This window comes from Homo sapiens, chromosome 12 (genome assembly GCF_000001405.40).
Source record: "Homo sapiens chromosome 12, GRCh38.p14 Primary Assembly".
Lineage (NCBI taxonomy): Eukaryota > Metazoa > Chordata > Mammalia > Primates > Hominidae > Homo > Homo sapiens.
The window spans coordinates 75,015,594-75,039,556 of NC_000012.12; the positions used below are offsets into that span (position 1 = coordinate 75,015,594).

General features: G+C 37.9%; 1 long non-coding RNA gene across 3 annotated transcripts; it reads right to left on the reverse strand.

The window, feature by feature from the left end:
* Nucleotides 1-594: 594 nt before the first annotated feature.
* LOC105369843 (uncharacterized) lies at nt 595-10,246 on the reverse strand. 3 transcript variants are annotated; one of them, XR_945101.4, is made up of 5 exons: nt 10,005-10,246; nt 2,377-2,421; nt 2,175-2,233; nt 1,075-1,190; nt 595-775 (listed from the first exon to the last, which is right to left on the reverse strand). It is a non-coding gene; the product is annotated as an uncharacterized LOC105369843 (long non-coding RNA). The 3 variants fall into 3 exon arrangements; XR_945102.3 differs by lacking the exon at nt 2,175-2,233; XR_945100.4 differs by lacking the exons at nt 2,175-2,233; nt 2,377-2,421 and adding an exon at nt 2,491-2,609.
* Nucleotides 10,247-23,963: the final 13,717 nt, after the last annotated feature.

Here is a 23,963-nt window from a genome sequence, read left to right on the forward strand (position 1 = left end):
CAACCCAAACTGCCTATCATGAACTGGGTGCTTTCTGACCCACGTATACATGTTTTTACATATATACACGTGTACTAAGAAAATATCTTCATTTTATTTCCTTTTCCTTTACCATGTGACGTAAGATTTATTGACTTCACATCAGCATTTAAGTATTGTTAACTCTATGTAATAGTATTTGGGTTGGGAACTGATATATTTCCAGTTGTACGTAGGACAGTTGTAATGTTATGAGTAAATATTGTTGCAGGAGTTTTCCTTAGTTTAGCTAAAGACAGGGTTCTTGTCTATCCTATAGACATGAAAATTTAGGCTCAAAGATGGTTTAAAGGGTGAGTAAAGCAAGGTTTTATTGGGTGAAAAGGGAAAAAAAAGGAGGAGGGGGGACAGGCATCCTCCTGTTTCAGAGTCCCCTGCTAGAGAGCTTCCTGCTGCTATTTGAATACTGGGTTCCACATAGGAAGAGGTGGGGCCAGGCCCCTCCCCACTGCAAAGGGCATGAACTTCCCAAGGCTCCACCTCAATGGGCAGACTGACTGGAATTTCTCCAGGGACCCCCTCCCACCTGGCTCTCATTCACCCCTCTAAAGAAGTACATGTAACCGCTGGTAGATTCAAGGTAAGGAGGAAGATGATCTTAACTGCTTCCTGCTGACAGGGGGTGCAGTTGTTGAGAAACAACAGTCAGAGCTCCCTCAGAGGAAATTTAAAGGTTCCTGGCAGAAGGGGCCATCATTAGAGGCTCTGGTTGCATGATTGTTTGGAGTTTGATGGCCTGAAGGCAAGAACAGACAAACAGGGTTATTAGAAAACATGTATCAAAATGAAACAAGGGGAGGGGTAAGGACAGCTCAAAAATTCCAAGGCCGTTTACCAGTTTGCACAGGGAGAGGGAGGCCAAAAGCCTGACTGGCAAAATAAAAACTTTACCCTTTTGCCATCATATTGGGTTTCTGGGTTACCTTCCCCTGAACCTGATCCTAAGCCAATCAGCTTAAGGTTTGGGAAATTAACTCTTTCCCTTTTGGAGGATGCATCTGAGGGAAGTGTCTCATAGTACAAAGACAAAATTACCTAACTGAAGAGAGGACTGAGGAGGAGACAGGGAAAAGAAGGTGCTTTTCAAAGAAGTCCCAGCAGTTCAGGATGCATTTGGAAGGGGTACACACTGAAGACGAATGGCCACCCACCTAGAAAGAGGGGAGCAGACATCCCTGGTTCCCTTCTCTTCCTAGCAGATACCCGGGGTACATGAGAGAGAGAAGGAAGTGTCCCTCTTTTCCTCTTCCATCCTTGCATCCCAGAGACCCAGCAACTTTGGCAGGCACCACCATGAGTGCCAAAGCGGCTTGCACCCATGAATCAGGGAGTGCCTAGAGAATGGGAATTGCCCACTCTCACCTATGCATCTATCCCTCCTACTGTCAGTAGCATTGGAGTTCCCTAGACCTCATGTATGCCATGGATACTGACATGGTCTTTATCCATGAAACAGGAAGCTTGGGTTTGGCTTAATCAGCAGGAATCTGCCATGGTCACCTGTGCTGTGCCTTTTAACCTCCATTGCCATCTGCCTCTGGAGCCATTAGATCCAGTTTTCTTTCCAGGGCTTTGACCCAAAGCTTAGAATTGAGTCTGGGACAAAAATGTGTCTCTGGGAGGGTTGCATGGACTCCTTATCATAAGCCAAATGCTAAGGTAAAACTGTGGAACTGATTTTTCCTCCAACAAGGGAGAGGAAAGGATGTTGTGTGACACACCCAGCTAACTGGTAGCTATAGTTATGCTTGCTAGGATTTGGATGCATGGTTCTTGGATTTGGTTAGTTCCCTTGGTCTTACTTTCCCAAAAAAGGAAACCTTCACATGATGGGCATTCCATTTAGTCCCTACTTATTCCAACCCCAAGCTTCCTATTGCATGGATAAAGGCCACGTTAGTATCCATGGCATAAATGAGGTCTAGGGAGCTCCAAGAAACAAATGATCATAGCACTGAGTTGTTTAAATAGACTTTGGTCTTATACTTGGCCTGTTTATTTGCATAAAGTGCAAAAAGAATAATTATTTCTACACAGGCCTCTTGGATTGGCTTTGATGGAAGTGTGTTCCACAAGGAATCACAGATAAGACCTTTTAAAGCCCAGTCCAGCCACGGATTTCCATCCTCAAATACCTGTGGGTTAGGTGATCCCCTCTTCTTAAGGTCCCAAGATAAATTTGGAGCTCCTGGACCTGTTAGAAAGTGGCATTCTTTACTGACCACAGGTCAGGAACCCTCTACAGGGACTGTGTAGACAAGAGTTATGAGGCCAGTTTCCCCACGGGGTTTTTATGGGCCCTGAAAGTCAAGCTTGACTCCTTAAAGGGAAACATACCCTTCCAGTTAAAGTCTTGATAAAATAACCTTATCCAATTGTGTCCTGTTGCAAAAGAAAAATTGAGTCTTATTGCACTGATGCAAACAACTATATTGCCATAAGAATACTTACAGATAGTTTACAAATTCTAGAGGAACTAGGCAGAGAGAAACAAATGTGCTCCAAATTTTGATCACAGGAGTACTTAATTATTAAAGGCTGTAGATAGTTTAAAATAAGTTTCCTTGACTCTGAAAAACAAAACATGGATCAGCAATATTCCAAGCAGAAGTCAAAAAGGTTGCTTCAGCTTTCTGAGTGCAATCCATTTAGTCAACTCTTGTTATGCATTATATTCATAAGCATTTCAGCTCTTTATGAATTCTGTACATTTTCCTTTATTCTAATGTTACGATCTCTAAAGTTATCAGAAGTCTGCATTTGAGAGCACCTGTTAAAGTTCTATAGCTCTTATAAACCGTCTTTTGAAAAGGATTAAAGCAAGACAACAATTGTCTGTGAATAGCAAAATGTCAAGGTTAGTTATACTTAGAAACACAATTGACAAAGAAGTTTGGTTATCTCCGTGGTTTGCAGTAACTTAACATAAAAACCTTATTTATGATTGGTAGCATATACTTAGACATTAGAATTTTAGATATCCCATACAATTTGGTACATATATTAGCATTATTCACCAAAAACCTAAAGAAGATTGAGCATCATTTTGGCAATCCCATGTACCTAAACATGTCAAATAATCCTGTTTACCTATTTTTTCTGGACACTTCAGGGGCACTCTGAAGTATTTGAAAAGCCAGCTGCCAGGGAAGACAATTTTAAAATGGAAGTTTGATTTGGGGAATGCTATTAAATGTTTGAGGTTTAAGACACTTGATATTATGAAATAGAATTCCAGATTCTAATAATAAATAATTTGTTTTGCCAAAATGATGATTCAGAAATTTTAAACAAGCAAAAACCTTTTATAACCCTTTTGAATTTAATTAATATGTTTACACAGAGAACATATTCTGCAAGATTAATTTCCACAGCTTTTCCACCACTTGTTTGAACCTTTAGCTTTCCCTATCTAACTGAATACAATCCTTTAACCCTGGGCAAAAGTTTACATTTCCATGCCTTCTTATAACCTTCTACATAAAAACACATTTTATTGTTTTTATACCTTTTGCATTTAAATTTATTTTCAGTAGTTTCAATTACATGTTATAATAGTAACTTCTACCAATTGTTGACTTTAAGGTAAAACTTGGTAAGTTGCTTTAATTGTGCATTAACTGCAGCCAAGGTTTGCCTTCTTAGTTAAGATTCTGGTTAGTTCCATATGTCCCTAGGCCTTACCAACTCTAAAGCCAGCAAGTGAAATAGTTCAGAAAACCCATAAAGCAGTTTGGAACCTTAAAACACTTAGAAAACCTTGCATCTGACTTGCATTTTACCAATAATCTTTAAGGCTGTTTTTATTTCTCAAAGATTAAAGTCACATAAACTGAAAGCTACCACAGATTTTATAATCCCTTTAAAAAATATTTGATCCAAGAACTTGTCTTTCTTTAGGCAAAATTAATTAGAACTCTTTTGACAGACATTACATACAGTACACAGATGGACAGGCAGAAGAAAACCCAGTCACTAGGTGGGGCCCTTTGAGACAGGCTAGAAAAATATGCAAATATCAAACCTGAGAGGGCTCATCCTCTCAGGCAAGATTGCTAAACAAAGCCTTGCCAAGCAGTAACCAGCCATGCCCTCAGGGTGTAAAGCAAGATGGAAACTTGATTTTACAACCAAAATTTTTCAGAGTAATAGTTGCACAGTGATAGTTGGGGCAGGGTGGGGGGGGGTGGGCGGGGGCTAGCCTAGTAAAATATCTTCTAAAAGAAAAAAACTTTAAAAGTTAACTTGCTAATGGGGTAGAAAAGGGGAAAGAAAAGAAACAGTTTAAAAATGCCTGAAGAGAAACCTCTTATTCTTATTCAAGTGGTTCCTCCACCAGGGAGAAAATCTTAAGCTTAATTACTGTCCAATGGAATAAAAACCCTTGGTTGGGGAAGGGGAAGGCTGCAGCAGCTTGTGGCTGGGAACCAGCCAGCCAGCTGTCCAGAATCCTTGGGCCATGCGTCCCAGTCCCAGCAACGAGCAGGGAGTGTGGCAGGGAGTGGGGAGTGTGTCAGGGAGTTGCTGATCATCAGTGGGTCGCAAAAAAGGAAGGAAAAGGCCTTGAAAAGGCCCAGGAGCGATGGGGCTGGGGGCATGGTTTCCCCTACCCTAAGAAGTCCGAGGATAAAAAGGCTCAGAAGCAACAGTGAGAGGTTTTGAGTCCCCATTTCACTCACTGCTTCTTGAGCCCCATGTTCGGCGCCAAAAATGTTGCAGGACTTTTCCTTAGTTTAGCTAAAGACAGGGTTCTTGTCTGTCCCACAGCCACACACATTTAGGCTTGCAGACGATTTAAAGTGTGAGTAAAGTAGGGTTTATTGGGTGAAAAGGGAAAAAAATGATCCCCTGCTAGAGCACTTCTCACCCATCATTCAAATACTAGATTTCACACAGGAAAAGGCGGGGCCAGGCTCCTCCCCACTGCAAAGGGCGTGAACTTCCTGAGGCTCCACCTCAGTGGGCAGGCTGGTTGGAGTTTCTCCAGGAACCTCCTCCCACCAGGCTGTCTCAATAAGACCTTATTATTGTCTTTATTTGAAGATTATGTATGATCTCAGGAGATGTGTATGGGTTCAAGCTGACAAGGGGTGTACTTGTGATGGTTAATACTGAGTGTCAACTTGATTGGATTGAAGGATACATAGTATTGATCCTGGGGGTGTCACTGAGGGTGTTGCCAAAGGAGATTAACATTTGAGTCAGTGGGCTGGGAAAGGCAGACCCACCCTTAATCTGGGTGGGCACAATCTAATCAACTGCCACTGTGGCTAGAATATAAGCAGGAAGAAAAATGTGAAAAGAGGCCTAACTTCCCAGCCTACATCTTTCTCTTGTGCTAGATGCTTCCTGCCCTCAAACATTGGAGTCCAACTTCTTCAGTTTTGGAACTCAGACTGGCTCTCCTTACTCCTCAGCCTGCAGATGGCCTATTGTGGGACCTTGTGATTGTGTGAGTTAATTCTTATTAAGCTCCCCTTTATCTATATATATCTGTTCCATTAGTTCTGTCCCTCTATGGAACCCTGACTAATACAATCAGTATGCTAATAAAATAAACAGATATCGAAATACCTCTGTGAAAATTCCTAGATATTTCTTTACTTCCTTCTTCATTATGAATTAAAATATCAGTAACTGATTATGTTTTGTGGTTGTTATTCCAGGTAATCAGAATCCTTATTAGAAGTATAATATAAGAGTGTGGTTTTTATCTTTACTCCATAAATTAAATGCAACCGGTATCATGTGACTACATTTTGACAACAAAATTAAATCTAACTCTATGCATTTCTCTGCCACTGTGACATGAAATTCAACTACAGTCATTGTTGAAATATTCCTCCTTTTTTGCCTCTGAGATATGAAGATTCCAGAGTCTTACACAGTTCAGAAAATGAAGGATCCCTGGTCTTTTGTTCTCACTGTTGGCTGCAGAAATGCTTGTATTTCAACTTGACATTTCTTAAGGAAGTTAACATACCAAGTGCAACAGAAGCTATAGGCTGCATGACCCAACCTTTATTTTCTACCTCGTTCTCTTTTGCTTTTCTCCAACATAAAAGACTATCAACACTAAAGACTGAATTTACCAGCCTCTATGGGTTGGGTAATCTATGTGATGCAGTCTCGACAATGATTTGAAAGTAAAAGGTCGCTGGTATTGCTTTTCAACCTGGGTACTTTCCTATTCTGCTTTTGTGAACAACAATGTAAGGCTGAAGATACAGATGCCATATGAAAAACAAAAATATAAAAAGCCAGCATGTTATGGTTGGCAGAATAGAGAGACAGCAAGAGCCCATGTCCTTAATGACATTGCTAAATGGCTGAGACAATGCCAAAAACCTGTGAACTAAATGCTATGTCAGAAAAATAAACAGCTATTTGTTTAAGATATTTTAAAATTCTGCCTTGTAGTTTAACATATCTCTAATTTAAACCCCAAACTTGGTTAAGGGGATTCTTATCTAGTATGATAGCTCTGCTGCCAATGGTCCCACTTAACTAGGTATATCAGGCAGTCATTATCCATAATTAGGGCTCTGTCTTTCTGGGATATTGTGATAATGTATGTATAGTTCTCTGTTTTCTTAGTTATTTGGGGCTGCTATAACAAAATATCATAGACTACATAGATAAGGAACAACAGAAATGCATTCTCACTGTTCTGGAGGCTGGGAAATAAATAAAGGGTCAAGGCATTGGCAGGTTTGGTGTCTGGTGAGGGCTGCCTTGTGGTTTATAGACGGTGCCTTCTAGCTGTGTCCACACGTGGTAGAGGGAGCAAAGCAATTCTCTGTGGCCTTTTTTTTACAAGGACCCATTCATAAGGACTCTGGCTTACGATTTAATTAACTCCCAAATGCCCCACCTCATAATACCCATCACATTGGTGATTTGGTTTCAACATATGAATTTTGGAGGTACACACTCAGACCATAGTATCTGCTTTCCCTCATAAGACCCCAAGAGCTTGTCTCCTTCCCAGTCCTGGAGAATTTCACCCTTCCCCAGAGTGGTAGATGCAGCCTCTACTCTCCAAACACTTTGCTTATCCTCTTTGCCTTTGGAAAGATTAGACATATACACTAAAGATGGCCTTTTAGACCTCTAATTTGGGATCTCTTCTTAAAGGTGAGATAGAGAAAAGAATGGAGTAGGGAAAGCAAATGCTGATACTAGATACATTTTTCACATTAATCTGTCAAATTACACTGCTATAACCTATCCTATCTTGGGGTAAGAATTTGATTTAGTCTTTCAAAAGATCAATTTTAAATTCTAGGTTCTGTCTCAGCTACCAGTCAATCAATTAAATGATCAACATACCCAATATATTGTTGGCTTACATAGCAAAGAACAAATTCCCATGTTTTAAAATTTAAGGTCTACTATTAAAGATAATAACAGATAAAACTAAAATTTAATTTGAAAACAGATATTATTACCAGAAATAAAAGAAAATACAAGTCCCTTTTTAGCTCTATGTTAGCCACTTGAAATCTCCTTCAGTCCAGAGTCCCCATATTGTGTTTTCATAGAGTACAATTTAAAAACATTTTTTGTCCAGAAATAAGCAGAGCTTATTTGTAAAAAAAAATTAAAAGTGCAGCCTTATTGTTTTCTGGATAAAGATAAATATGCTGTCATTTTTCCCATCTTAGGGGAAACAAAGAAAACAAAAACAATCACTTACCTTTACTTCTCCCATTTGCAATTCCTCTATTTCTCTGTTCCCCTTTGTAGAAAATCTCCTGAGTGTCTACATGTGCTGTTTCCAGTTCTACTCCAGACCCTTAAGACTATTTTAATCAGACTTTACCCTCAACAATGCGCCATGATGATCTTGTCAAGGTTGCCAATTACCTCTTCATTGCTAAATTAAACTACCAGTTCTTACTCCTTTGTCCTTCATTCATTTTATTTCTAAATTTTCGGATCCTTGAGATCTCTCGCTTTTCCTCCTATCTATTTGCCCATTCTCAATCTCATTTGCTGTTTCTGACAATCTCTCATGACCTACCAATGTGGAAGTGCCCTAGGAATCAGTCCTTAGATCTCTTCTCTTTCCTGTACACACACACCACCTTGGTGATCTCACCCATTGTGATAATTTCAAATACCATCTTTATGCCTACATCTCCCAAATGTATATCTCCAGCCCCATCCCAGATCTTTTACCTGGTCTACCTCATCTCCAGGTTCATATATCCACCTCATACCTGAAATTTCCAATTGGAGATATATATAAATTCTTTTTCCTAAGAATTCAAAATAAAGTTCATCAATTTATTTTCTAAGGAGTAAAGCCATGAACAAATAAATATAATAATAACCCACTTTTTGCACCTAGCCAGATTTTTCAATAATTAAATCTTTCACAGATTAATAATCAAATGTTCGAGATGATGTGTAGATTCTCTAAAATGTAATTTCTGAAATAGTCAAATATGTGCTTCAGAAGCATTAAATAAAGCTTATTCTTTCTTAATTCAAAGAAAAATATGCCAAGTTGCAATCTCAAAGCAGGAGTTATCTTAACTTTGCATATTTTTGTCTCAGAAAACAGCAATTCAACATCTTGTGTCACTGCTATTGTTAACAAAGCTGCCCACTGCTTTTCTCCTTCTCAAGCTAAATGAGAGCATGTTGTCCATTTTGCATAGGATTGTGAACAAATAGCCATGTGGTCACAACAACTACTTTAATCAGTTCAGAACAAAACCTCCTCACGTAAAAGAACCAGACAAGCAAGGTACTTCTGGGGATTTGGTAGATTTCTAAAGAATCCTCAAGATACCATGGATGTACCAATATCATTCAAAAGATTCTGTTAATTTTGGGAGATCTTAGTGTGATCCAGGGGTAATATTAGAATCTCTTCAGCCTGCTCTACAGAATACAATTGACTTTTTATATACTAATATATAAAAATTTTATAGATATGTAAAATATTCAAGAATTATGCTAAGAATTTCCAATCTTATCAAACCTTTAAATTGCCAAATCCTGTTAATTTCTATTTATCGTTATCAAATGTAAATATCCCACTTTCTGAAGACTTAGTCTGTAAACAATAAGAACATCATTTGAAAGTATGTTCATGTTGATGCTGGGATAAATTTTAAAGAAGGATTTAATTCTCTTTAAAGGAAATTGGAAATGGGTTTAAAAACTCTTGCCAAAATTTGTGTTCAATTATAACTACCAGAAAGAAAATCAATACTAGAGAAAAAAATTACAAGTTGCTAAACTATAAAAATTATGTGTAAAAACAATCAATTATAACATGATAATTGTAATCATAATAGCAGTTCATAGTTATACAGAAGACTTTCTGTACACAATACTGTTACATATATTACACACATCATCTCATTCAGAACTCATAACAAAATTATAATGTAAGTATTACAAGGTTTTTTTTTTTTTTGATAGTGTCTTGCTCTGCCATGCTGGAGTACAATGGCAATCATGGCTTAACTCAGCCTCAACTTCCTGGACACAACTGATCCTCCTGCCTCAACCTCCCAAGTAGCTGGAACTACAGGTGTGCACCACTATGCCTGGGGAATTAATTTTTTTATTTTTTGTAGAGATGGGGTCTCACTATATTGCCCAGGCTAGTGTTGATCCTGGACTCAAGCAGTCCTGCCTCAGCATCCCAAAGTGCTGGAATTATAGGCATGAGCCAGTACACATAGCCAGAAGTCACATAGGTGGTAAAGGATGATAACAAGATTCCAACTCATACACGCTTAGACTCTAAAACCCATTTACTTTACCACAGGTTAAGTATGCTTATCTACAAAGCGTAACAGGACCCAATAACTTGTGCTTGCTACAGGGGGAGGGGGCACCAGGGGAGATGATGAATGCGAATTTCTGGCTTTGGGAACTAACTCGGTCATTGCTGTTGAAAAAGATTAAAGAAACATACAAAAGCTTTGAAATATACTAACCATAGAGTCAGTGGCAAATGGAAGTGAATTAACGACACTGGTTAGTGCCTGGGAAGGTTCAGTCCAGTGGGTGAGTCAGGGCAGCAAGGAGTCCACAGATGATGATAAAAACTGGGTCTATTATATTCCAATCATTTCATTAGGCTCTGCAGATACTAAAAGAAAGAATTGTATAAAAGCATTAATAGTTGACCCTCTACAGGTAAGAAGGGGCAAAATCATAAAATGTCTTGAGTGGCAGGCTTTAAAAAGTTGGTGTTTTGTTCTGAGGTTGACATATGAACATCTAGGGGAGAACATGGCGGGATGTAAATTTCAGAAAAATCAGCCTAGGTAACGGTTCAATTCAACAAATATACGTTAAGAATCTTCTGAGAGCCTGGGCCTGGGAGTGTGCCAGGCAGTGGAGATACAGTGATAAATGCTTGCTGAAGAGCGCTAAGGGACAATGTCCAGAAAAAGAGCAGGCCTAACGGCATCTTTTTAGCAAGTTTCCTGGCAGTAAAGTGAAAAAGGATGAATGACAGCAACTTAGTTTACTTGCAGCTTCCTGTAAATTTAGTCATCTGAACAAGAGGGGACTGAACTGTTTCAAAACAGAAAGCAAGTAACTGATTTTTAATGACTTTCCAATATTTATGATAGTACTAAGAACTTTTAAAAGTCTATTTCCTTGGGAGACCGAGGCGGGCGGATCACGAGCTCAGGAGATTGAGACCATCTTGGCTAACACGGTGAAACCCGGTCTCTACTAAAAATACAAAAATTAGCCAGGCGTGGTGGTGGGCGCCTGTAGTCCCAGCTACTCTGGAGGCTGAGGCAGGAGAATGGCGTGAACCTGGGAGGCGGAGCTTGCAGTGAGCTGAGATCGCACCACTTCACTCCAGCCTGGGCGAAAGAGCAAGACTCCGTCTCAAAAAAAAAAAAAAAAAAAAAAAAAAGAATTCTAAATTAAAGTAGCTTATAGATTAGCTGGGATTTCTCCCCACCCTCACCAGTCCCTGTAGATCCTTAAATTTTTGATTAGCCAAAACTTAAAATGGCTATCAAAGAACTGTCAAAGAAAATTGCCTCAGATCAGTTAAACAGTCAAGGAAGATGTTATTCAATGGTCTTGCAGTGGGAGTCAAGACTATTGGAGTGATAAAGAGAGATTGAACTCAACTCCACTATAAGAGAAATGGGAGAGCTTTTAAGTGCTGGGATGAGCTAGCAGAAAAGTACTGGAGAATGTTAGTTTGAGGTTGATCATTTTGATCAGGCCATCTGTGTTTGATGATAGGTGTTTATTGAAGTTGGCTCCTGCATTCCCACAGAAACCGGAAGATAGGAGCCCTATCTTTCTTGATAATTATATTCCAAAGGCTTGGCTCCCAGATCCCTGAGAAAGACATTTCTTAGTTATAAAACTGACAAGAGGTTAGGAAAAGACTCACATTTCACAGGGACAGGGAAATCATTTACACTTGCAAGTTTTCTGAAGTAAGTGATTTAAGAAAAGGAAAGCAAGGAGCCTACAGTAAAAAAGAAACTTGTCGAAAGTTTATTCTAGCTGAGAAGAACATTAAAGCCATCTTGCTGATTACTAGCAATGGTAATTCAAATTTTTTAGGTAACATGAAACAGTCTCATATTTAACCTGGTTAAGTTAGATGAAGAACTATTTTGATAGTTGGTGTGAAGCTGTAGAAAGTTCTGCCTGTGGCTCTCTAGTGGACCACATGTCAGGGAATGCTTTCTAATTTTTAGGTTGGTGAAAAAGCAATCACAGTTTTTGCCATAAAGTAATGGAGTTTTTCACTGCCATGAAGTAATGGCAAAAAGTGCGATTACTTTTTCATCAGCCAAATATTAATTCTGTGTACCCTTTTCCCACAAAATACGTATTAATACTTAGCCATGTATTTGGTGTCAGGGAAAGTTGCTACCAAAGGCAAACAGTTTTTTTCCCCCACCTTATTATTTTGACATAATGTAATCGTTCTTATGAATAGAATTATTGGGTCCAAAAAATAAGTAGATAGATCTAAGCTTAAAACATTTAATTTTGAAAAATAAATCTCATAATGACATTTGTCCTAGGGATTTCTAAAAAATAATAACCCAGGCACATTAAAATTTTAAAGATTTTATTTAAGCAAACAGGAATTCATGAATCGGGAAGCGCCAAAATGCAAGTTGTTCAGGGCTCCACCAAAAGTCCAAGGGGGGAAACTTTTACAAGGTATAAAGACAGACACCTAGATAGACAGATAGAAGCAAGACAACGAAAATGATTGGTTAGAGAGAAGAATCTCGAGGTAGAGGTTAGTTAGATGTTATTGATTAGTTAAGCTTAAATTCTGCTTTCCTCGGCTTTGACCGTTCACCCTGAGTTGGGTTTTGGTTTACATAGGAACCCAACCGACTGAAACTGTTTCAGCCTAATGACTTCCAAATTAATTATTTTAACAGAATCTAATTTGTGACATTAAGGAGTTTCGCATTAACAGGTAATATGTTCTCTGTAAAATTATATCATTATATTGTGCTCTTGTAACAAATGAGACAAAAAAAACTTGCGTGAACACATTTTACAAAAATAAATGTAAACCCAGCAATATTTTATATGTTGACAGTCACTAGTTGATTTTGAAAGCATTTAACATCACTAGTAATGTAAATGTAAAGAAACAATGTCTGTTTGTCAAAACTACAAGAAAATAGTAACAGAAAAATTTGTCTAAATTCATTTTTTTATAAGAAATGTGAAAATTGATGATTTCTTCTCCTGCCTCCCTGTTAGGCATTGCAAACCTTCAGAGTTCCCAGTGAAAAGAATGTCTCTGATACTTTACGCTGAATTTATTCTAACATAGTTCATGAAGCAGAATGATAGAATTATTTCTTTACTTTCAGCTTATTTTTTTTTAATTCACACTAAAAGGCCTTACTTCAGGCAATGTTCTATATCTGCTGCTTAATCTTGTGTCCTCTCTTTGACTGTATATCCAGCTGTGTGTCTGTGTGTGCGCGCGCACAAGCAAGCTTGCATTATTATCTTAGATTCTGGAGATCTCTACCAGCCATCTCTCCAGAATCCTGCCAGTACCCAGTGTGATAACGAACAGCTATTGATATAGGAAGAACATCATGTAGAGCATTTAAACTAGTGCCCTTTATTGCCAGAGAAACCATGGTAAAATGAAAGATCTGAAGGAAAAAATTCGCACACACACAGCCACAGACACACACACACACACACACACACACACACACACACACAGTCAGTCCTCAGGTACTAACTTCATACTTAATTCTTTGCAATAAAGTTACAAGTTATTGGCTTGTTTTTCTTTTGTTTTTGATCAAGAAACTAAGAATAATATAGCTTCTCTTGGCCATTAAGAAAGAATTAGATTTAAGGAACATTTTAGATCATCCCTAAAAGATCTCAAAAGGAAGTAAATTAAAACACTGAGGGAATTGATTAAAGAAAGGTTTCAGGAACCACAATATTCAGATTATGTTATGAATTGTTTTCATATACTTGTATTTTTACTTATTTCATATCACTTTTCACCACTACTAAAAGTAAAATTTTCACTAATGCCAAAGTATTTTTATCATTTTATTGTGATGATAGATCTTCCTGGCTTATAGGAAAAATTTTAAGTGCTTAACAGATTTAAAAAAGATCCAAAAACATTTTCCCCCAAAAGTAGGTTACTTGATTTTGAGTTACATGAAATTTCCTTATATAATTTTTATTGTAAAAAATACTTGAAAATGAAAATATAAGTTGTATCAACTTATAACACATTGACATTATTTTACAAATACTGTTGTCTCAAATTTAGAATCAAATTTGGTAGTTGTAAAATAAATGTCCTATTAAAAATATTTGGCCTGCTAGTAAATGACTAGCTAACCTATATGGTACACAGGAGCATGATATTTTTAAAGTCTGTAATGGTTCCACTCAGTTTCTATATTTTGAACTTAATCAAACACCATTAATAAGTGATCACTGCCAAAATATATGACATTGATGTGATATTTTATCACATGCACAAAATTACTCTAAACAAAACAATGTATTTTCAAATCATAATAGAGTTAAGAAATTGTCCTGATTATTTTAATTTCATCTACTGCTGGTGAAATGTAACATTGATATGATTAGTTTTTAAATTTTGGTCATGATTTTTTTATATTTATTGACCCAATAATTTCATCCTTGGAATAATTTTCAGGAAAAATCCTGCCAAAAAATAAAATAAAGTGGACATACGGAAAGTGGTCAATGCCTTCTTACATATAATGGGAAGGAGGAAAAAGAAATAGAAATTATGAGTGACTTAGGGGAATGAATAAGTAGGGAACAACAATCTACTCGGATAATATGCATCCTTTCAAAATTTTAATTACTAAGAATGTATGAATTTGAGAAAATTATTTCAGAAAGAATACTATTCTGTTAATTGTAATTTCAAGGATCTGTCTTCCATTATAGGCCTTGCTAAATAAGAAAAATACATGTGGAAATTTTTTTTCTTCTTTTTTGTTTTGCTTATTTGTTAATAATACACATAGATAAAACTTATTTTTAAAATAATGTATATGCCTAGGCCTCATCCCTAGAAGCCCTTAATTTCAAAAGTTAAAGGTTGCATACAAGGATCTGTATTTTTAAACAGCAGCAACATTTTTTTTAACATAGAGCTGGGATTAGAGACCAATACATTAGATGGAGTTTTTCAATGCAGAGATTCATCATTCAACTGTTTAAGTGTGCTTCTATCGGGTTGAAAATAGTTACAGCACAGTCTGTGAGCAAAGAATAAAGTAAGATTATAAAGGTAGATGGAGACAAAATTGAAGCATGGATTATGTGATGTTAAATACACAGACACACACACACACACACACAAGTTAATAAAATAAAACGAGACTACAAAAGGGAAAAAGGCAAATTGACGAATTGAAAACATTTGGTTTGTAAAGTGGAAAATTACTGAATTATAGTTAATTTTTTCCCTTTTATTAATTTTTATGAGAGCTTTTACTATTTTGTGGGAAAAAATCTTATTTGTTTTAAAGAGAAAGAATCTTCTGTGGATAATGAACCAACATATTTATATCTTCAACTGAAGTGACAAATTTATAAATAACTCATGTGTGGTGTATACGACCCACACTTGAGAAGATAAATTAGAGAACTGCAGTTTCATTAACTGTTTAAGAGAATCAAATAAAAAACATGAGTATTAACTAAACCGACTGTTACCATATGATCCAGAAATTGTGCTCCTTGTTATTTACCCAAATAAGTTGAAATTTTATTTCCACACAGAAACCTGAACACAGATGTTTATAGCAGTAAGATGTCTGTGATAGCTAATTTTATGTGTCAACTTGTCAACTTGCCTGGATGCCCAGATATCTGGTTAAATAATATTGCTAGGTAAGTCTCTGAGGGTGTTTCCAGAAGACAGTAGCATTTGAATTAATAGACTAAACAAAGTAAGTTGCCTTCTCCAATGTGAGCGAGTATCATCCAATTTTTTGTGGGCCTAAAAAGACAAAAGTGATGAAAGAAATGAGAATTCACTCTCTCTTCTTGACTTTTTGATCTGGAACATTGATCTTCTGTGGCCTTTAACTGGGTCTTATATAATCAGCACTCTTGGCTCTCAAGACTTTAGACTCAGAAACTCAGACTAAAACTAGTCTACTGGCTTTTCTGGGTCTCTGGCATACAAACATGACATTTCTCAGCCTTTTATAACCATGTGAGCAACTTTCTTATAATAAATCTATATATATATATATAATCTCCTATTGGTTCTGTTTCTCTGGAAAACCTTGACTAATGTAGACTCTATTACTGAAGGTGGTTCTAGAGGAACAGAATTTTAAGAATAAGTTTTGTATATTGGTTCTGGGATTTTGGGAACTGACTTTCTAATCTGATTGGGTTTGAAGATGTGAAGACTATTTTCAGTAGTAAAGAGAGCATCGATGTTCCATGGCATCAACTGCTGAGAGATACACAAACTAACTACATACAGTATTCTTAGTCAACCACTTATAAGAAGCAAAGAGCTGGGTGACTGTGTGTTTAATACTTTCCAGAATTTTTGGAAAACTAACAAATACAATGAGGTTGTCTGATTGCTACTAATGTGACTGAAAAAGCAGGGAAACAAAAGGATTATCACAGAGATTCAAACTTCTAGCTCAAGTACCACATAAATGACCTGAAAGCTTCCAGGTGTCCACTGAAGGAGACCCTTATCTACTGTAGCTATAAGATTGAAATTGCTGAAAATCAAATGAAGAATCTCATCCTGTAACTGGCTGAACTACAATGGAAACTGAACTCCATTTTTTCCCTAATTGGGAAAAAATAGGATCCTGTAAATTGGGATGGTAACATGTGGGAAAACACTGATGAAGCTGAGAACATCAAGCCCCTAAATCCTGAGTCTTCTTTGCCAGTGAGAAATGTGTCCCCTACCTGCAGGAAGAATGACCTCCCATTCCTAGCAGAAATGTCCTCCCAACTCCCAGCAGTATCAGCCTTTCCATCCTTTCCTTGTCTGAGGAAATGAATCCTGCATTGCCTGAGGAATCCATAATGACCTTCTCTGAGGCAGTTGCCATGCAAGACATTGCTGACTTTCTTCAAGCCAAACCCCCACCAGCCCTCTTTCTTCTAGACCTGTAACTACTCACAAATCTCAGCAGATCTCCAAAGGTAAGGTACAAAGTGTGACCAATGAAGAATTGTCCTACACTCCAAAAGAACTACTTGAGTTTTCTAATTTCTGCAAGAAGAAACCAGGGAACATGTATGTAGAAATGGATATTAAGAGTATGGGATAATGTTGGAAGCAACATAAAGTTAGATCAGGCCAAATTTAATGATATAAGATCACTAAGCAGAGATTTTGCATTTAATGTTGATGCTTGTGGAAATTAAAAAGGATTCTAACAGTTTTATTGGTTGGTTGGCTAAAACATGGACCTCATAACCTGCAGTGAGCAAATTAGAAATGCCAGACCAGCCTTGGTTTAATGTAGAGGAAGGAATTTAAAGGCTTTGGAAGACTTGAATGTTAGATGGGATTTTGTCATTGCAGATCTACTCATTTACACTGGAAGGGTCCAGAAGATATATCTTTCTCTACTAGCATGAGAACAAAATTTGTGAGGGGAGCCATGGTATTCTTGAAGTATTCTGTGATCTCACTTTTCTGTAGGCAAGACCGTGGGGTGGGAACTACAGCCACTGAATCAGGAATCCTAAATGCAATGGAAGCAACTGATTCCAGGGTGGAATGTTTAAAGTGGTGGCACTCAGTCATCAATGGAAAGGTAGGTGTAGTTGCCATAGTGAATGGCAGAGTCAAAGCAGCAATAAGAATAGTCTGGCTCCTACACACCTATTGCATTGGCTCGTTTATCATGGTGTTCCTAGAAATGAAATAAATATTCCTATTTATTCCTACTAAATTGTTACTTGATCTATATAAACAGAAAAGTTTTAGGTGAAAGAAGTAAAAGTCTAACCTGAAACATTAAGACAGAGGCACTGCTTATCAACCAATTCCCAGAGTTGATCCAGTTTACAGACCCAAAGTCTTTCTCACTCCATTGCCCAGGCTGGAGTGCAGTGGCACAATCTCGGCTCACTGCAACTTCTGCCTCCCTGGTTCAAGCAATTCTCCTGCCTCAACCTCCCGAGTATGTGGGATTACAGGCATGTGCTACCACACCTGGTTAATTTTTATATTTTTAGTAGAGACAGGTTTCACCATATTGGTCAGGCTGGTCTCAAACTCCTGATCTTAAGTGATCTGCCCACCTCCACCTCCCAAAGTGCTGGGCTTCCAGGCATGAGCCACCATGCCTGGCCCATATCCAAAGTCTTTTGAACAAAGGGGAGGCCAGGTACCCTTGAGGAAGGATCCCAGTACACTACCAAAAATTTATATTGGTGATCTTTCTCCCAGACTTCCCCAAAGAGACTTATGACCTTTTATCAGGGTAGCTGTGCACTAGGGGAAAAGGAAATAATCAGACCTTTTGGAGAATACTAGACACTAGCTCTCAACTGACATGAATTCCAGAAGGCATAAAATGTCACTGTGGTCTAACAGTCATATTATGGGTTATTGAAGTCAGGTGATGAAGCTTTAGCTCAAGTCTATCTCACAGTAAGCCCAGGAAAAGTCCCTTACCCCATCCTTTGGTTATTTATACAGACTCAGAATGCACAATTGGAATAGGTATACTCAATAACTGGCTCCCTGATATGTGGAGTGAGGGCTATTATGGTGGGAAAAGTAAGTGGAAGCCATTAGAAATGCCAGTAAACTGAAAGCAACATTGCATTCCTGTAGGAATTTCAAAGATTAGTCCCACTATCCGGGACTAGAAAGATGCTGGGATGCTGATCCCCACCCACATCCCCATTTAACTCTCCTATTTTACCTATGCAGAAGAAAGATTGATCTTGGAGACTGACAGTGAATTATTGTAAGCTTAACTAGGTAGTGGTTCCAATTGCAGTTGGTATATCAGATGTAGTTTCATTGCTTGAGCAAATTAACACATCACCTAATGCTTGGTATAGAACTGTTAATGTGGCAAATGCCTTTTCTTTCATCCCTGTCAATAAGGCCCACCAGAAGCTGTTTGGTTTTCGCTGACAAGGCCAGCAACACACCCATACCATCTACCTCAGGAGTATATCATACTCTCCAGCCCTATGTCATAATTTACTTTGCAGAAATCTTGATCACCTTTTCCTTCCCTAAAATATCACGCGTCAATTACATCAATAGCATTATGCTGATTGGACTTAGTGAGCAAGAAGTAACAACCACTCCAGACTTACTGGAAAGAGAGTTTCATGTCAGAAAGTAGTAAACAAATCTGACAAAAATTCAGAGCATTCTACCTAAGTGAAATTTCTAGAGGTCCAGTGGCATATGGCGTGCCAAGATATCTTTTCTAAGGTGAGGAATAAGTTGTTGCCTCTGGCCTCTCCTACAATCCCAAACAAGGCAAAATATATAATGGGTCTCTTTGGATTTTGAAGGCAATATGTAATTCATTGGGATGTGTTACTGCTGCCCATTTACTTAGTGACCTGAAAAACTGCTACTTTTGAGTGGGACACAGAAAGACAAGGCTTTGCAACAGGTCTAGGCTGCTGGGCAATCTGCTCTGCCACTTGGGCCATATGATTCAGGAGATTCAATGGCAAATTCAAAGGTAGATTGGGATGCTATTTTCAGCCTTTGGCAGGAAACCACAGGTAAATCACAGCATAGATTCAAGATTGCAGGGCAAAGCTTTGCCATCTTCTGCAGATAACTACTCTCCTTTTAAGAAACAGCTCTTGGACTGGTACTGGGTATTAGTAGTGACTGAACACATAACCATGGACCACCAAGTTACCATGCACCCTGAGCTGACTATTATGAACTGGGTAGGTATCCACAGCAGCACTTCATCATCAAATAGAATTGCTGTATAAGTAACTGAGCCTGAGGCACAATTAAGTTATATGAAGAAATAGCCAAATGCTCATGGTTTCCACTGCTGCTACACTGCCTTCTCTCTCCCAGCTGCCTACACCTATGTCTTACTGAGGAGTTTCTTAATATCAGTGACAAGGGAAGAGAAAACTCTGGCCTGGTTTACAGATGGTTCTGTATGATATGTTGACATCACCCAAAAGTAGACAGCTGCCGGATTACAACCTCTTTCGGGGACATTCCTGAAGAGCAGTGGTAAGGGAAATCTTCCCAGTGAGCAGAACTTTCAGGAGTAAATCTGGTTGTTTTCCTTGCTTAGAAAGAGAAATGGCCAAATGTGTCATTATAAACCTAATACATGGGCTGTGGCTAATCGTGTGACTGGATGGTCAGGGAATTAGAAGAAACATGATAGGAAAACTGGTGACAAGGAAATTTGGGGAAACATGTGGTTGGACCTTTCTGAAAGAGCAAAAAACGAAGATAAATGTGTTGCATGTGAATGGTCACCAAAGGGTGACCTCAACAGAGGAACATTTTCATAATGAAGTGGATAGGATGACCCATTTTGTGGATACCAGTCAGTCTATTTCCCCAGCCCTTCCTGTCATCATTCAGTGGGCTCATGAACAAAGTGGCTATGGTGGTGAGGATGTAGGTCATACATGGGCTCAACAACATGGACTTCTACTCACCAAGGTCAGCCTGGGTATGGCCATTGCTGAATGTCTAATCTGCCAGCAGCAGAGATCAACACTGGTCTCCAATAAGGCACCATTTCCTGCCATGATTAACTCATTCTTGGGTGATAGGTTGATTATACTGGACTGCTTCCATCATGGGAGGGGCAACATTTAGTTCTTATTGGATTTATTGGATTACAGATTTACTCTGGATATAGATTTGTCTTCCTTGCACTCAATGCTTCTACCTAAACTACCATGCCTGGAATTACAGAATGCCTTATCCACTACACGTTTTCTACACAGCATTGCTTCTGATCAAGAAACTCACTTCCCAACAAAAGAAGCAGGACAGTGGGCCCATGCTCATGGAATTTACTGGTCTTACCATGTTCCCCACCATCCTGAAATGCTGGTTTCTGAGATAATGGTGAATGGCCTTTGGATACTCAGTTTATAGCACTAGCTAGGTAGCAATACTTGTAAGACTGGAATGAGGTTCTCCAGAAGGCTATGTATTTTCTGAATTAGCATCCAATATATGGTGCTGTTTCTTTCACAGCCAGGATTCATGGGTCTAGAAATCAAGGGGTGAAAATGAGAGTGGCACCACTCACTCTTACTCCTAGTGCCCCAATAACAACATTTTTGCTTCCTGTTTCCATGACCGAATACCCTCCTGGCCTAGAAGTCTTACTTCTAAAGGGAGAAATGTTTTCACCAGGGGACAAAACAACGATTCCACTGAAATGCAAGTTAAGACTTATGCCCAGTCACTGGGCTCTTCATGCCTGTTAAACAAAAGGCAAAGAAGAGAGTTACTGTGCTGGCTGGGGTGATTGACTCTGACTACCAATGCACAATTGGACTACTACTCTGCAATGCAGGCAAGAAAGAACGTGGCTGGAACACAGAAAATCTTTTACAGTGTCTTTAATGTTACCATATCCAGTGATTAAGGTCAGTGGAAAACTACAACAACCCAGTTCAGAAAGTTTGGGTAACCCCACCAAGTAAACCAGCTGAGGTGCTTGCTGAAGGTAAAAGGAATACAGAATGGGTGATGGAAGATGGTAGTCATAAATACCAGCTATGGCTATGTGGTCAATTTCAGAATTGTAATTGCCATGAGTATTTGCTCCTTATTTTGTTATGTATACATTGTATGTATGTATATAAAAATCTTTGTTTTCTTTTCTCTCATTTCTTTATCATGCAACATGATATATTTTGACTTTATGTTGTAGTATTTAAGCACTATTAATTTTGTATCAGAATTTTTAAGTTATAGGATATTAAAGAGAAGAGTAATCATCACTCAAGGAATTTATCGTCTCTTCTGGTTTAGTACACTTTTGGACAAAAACGCGATAGTTGTACTACATTAGGCAGAATTTTGACCTCATTCTTGTCTTTACTTGGAGATTATGGTTTAAGGAGCTGCTTTTGAAGTGCCAAGAGTGCCAAGTTGACAAGGAATGGATTTGTGATGGTTAATTTTATGCATCAAGTTGACTAGGGCAGACATCTAGTTAAACAATATTTCTGAGTGTGTCTCTGAGAGTGTTTCTGGAAGAAATTAGAATTTGAATCAATGGACTGAGTAAAGCAGATTGCCTTTCTTAATGTGGGTGGGCAAGATCCAATCTGAGTGCCTGAATGGAACAAAAAAGTAGAGGAGGAAAGATTCCACTCTCTCTGCCTGGCTGTTTGATCTGGCATGTCAGTCTTCTTTTCTTGGACTGAGACTTACATAAGTACTACTTCCTCTCAGGCCTTTGGATTTGAATGGGAATTTACACCATCAGTTCTGATTCTCAGACCTTCAAATTCAGACTGAAATTATACCACTTGTTGTCCCGGGTCCCTAGCTTGTGGATAGCAAATTATGATTATGGTACTTCTCAGCCTCCATAATCACATGAGCCAATCACTTATAATAAATCTCTTTATATAATTGTGTGTGGGGATGTGGGGATGTGGGGGGGTGGGGGGGTGGGTGTATTTTCATTCTATGAGTTCTTTTTCTCTGAAAAACCCTGATGAATACAATATCCAGTAGGTGAATGGATAAGCTGTGGTATGTCCAGAGAATGCAATTATTATACAGTGCTAAAAATAAATGAGCTATCAAGTCATGAAAAGACATGGAAAAACCCTAAATGTGTATTACTAAGTAAATAAACCAATCTGAAAAAAAAATACATACTGTACCATTCCAACTATATGACATTCTGGAAAAGGCAAAACTATGGAGACAGTAAAAAGATCCCCCCCCACCCCCGCTAAAATTAAGGGGAAGAAAGGATGAATTGGATTAACACAGAGGATTTTTAGGGTAAACTATTCTATATGATACTACAATGGTGGATGCATGTCATTATACATTTCTCAATACCCATAGAATGTAGAGTACCTATAGTGAACTCTAACATAAACTATGGACTTTGGGTATTAATGATGAGTCAGTGTAGTTATAGGCTCTTCAATTGTAACAGATGCACCCCTGTAGAGTGAAATGTCCATAGTGGGGGAAGTTGTGCATGTACGGGGGCAGAGCTACATGAAAATCTGCTGAATTTTCCTGCGAGGCTAAAACTTCTTTAAAAAATAAAATATTTTTTAAACAAATGAATGTTAGGTTATCTGGGATTCACAATGGTGGTGGCCACATCCTTTGACGATCTTAGTATTCAAATTGCATATTCAGTCGTTGGTCGCTTTGACATGATAGTGTGATAACAAAATCAATCTTGTAATATTAATTCTATCAAATTATTTTATTTTCAGAGAATAGTGAAACACATCATATCCTCTGAACAAAGTTTGGCGAAGAACAGGAAATTAGAAAATTTAAAATCAATATTAATGACACTGAGCTCACATTACAGAATATTAGCATATATCTATAGTTTAATAATGTTTGGGCATTTAAACAATTAATTAAATTTTGGCAGTGGAAATTGGATGGAAGAAAGAATTTTTTTCAGTAAGAAAAAAATTTAACTACATATTTTAATCATCTGAAACTTCCATGGATTTCAATAATTTAATAGATTCATTTAGCTCTAAATGTCTTCAAGCATGTCATAAATCCTCTGAAGTCTCTGCTTTGTAATGTAGCCTGTTAATATTCACTACAGCCTGACAATATTCATTGTCTAAGATAAGTTCACTTTTGCTATTCTATTAGTATGTCTAGTGATTTATTTCAAGGATAAAATGAATGTCTTAACTTTTCATTCATGACTTTTTAATCCTGATTTTTAATCAAAATTTGATGGCAATTATTATCTATTACAATGCATTATTTCCTCTTCCTACACATTTTTCCTTTTTACAGTAAATCCAACATCCTGACATCATTAAAAATATTTTAATAGTAATTATATTTGGACAGATTCCCTTTTCTGAGCTGTTTCTTAATAGTCTCTTAAGAGTCAACATGGAACATTTTTAGGCACAGAAAAGATATAGAAAAGATTTTGCTTTGCTTAGTCAAAAGTGTTGAATTCTCCAGTATTTTTTTCTTTTATCTCACCCCTCTCCTACCCCTGGATGGTGACATAGAAGTTTATAGGGTAAACTTATATGTATTCCCACAATATAAATGGAAGGCCAACTATGTATGATGTGCTTCTGAAAGAGAGGCCTGTTACCCAAAGGTGAGACAGAAGCCATCTTTGATAGGGCATTTACAACTAGAGGCCCAGTAAATATTTAATCCACAAAAAAGTATTACA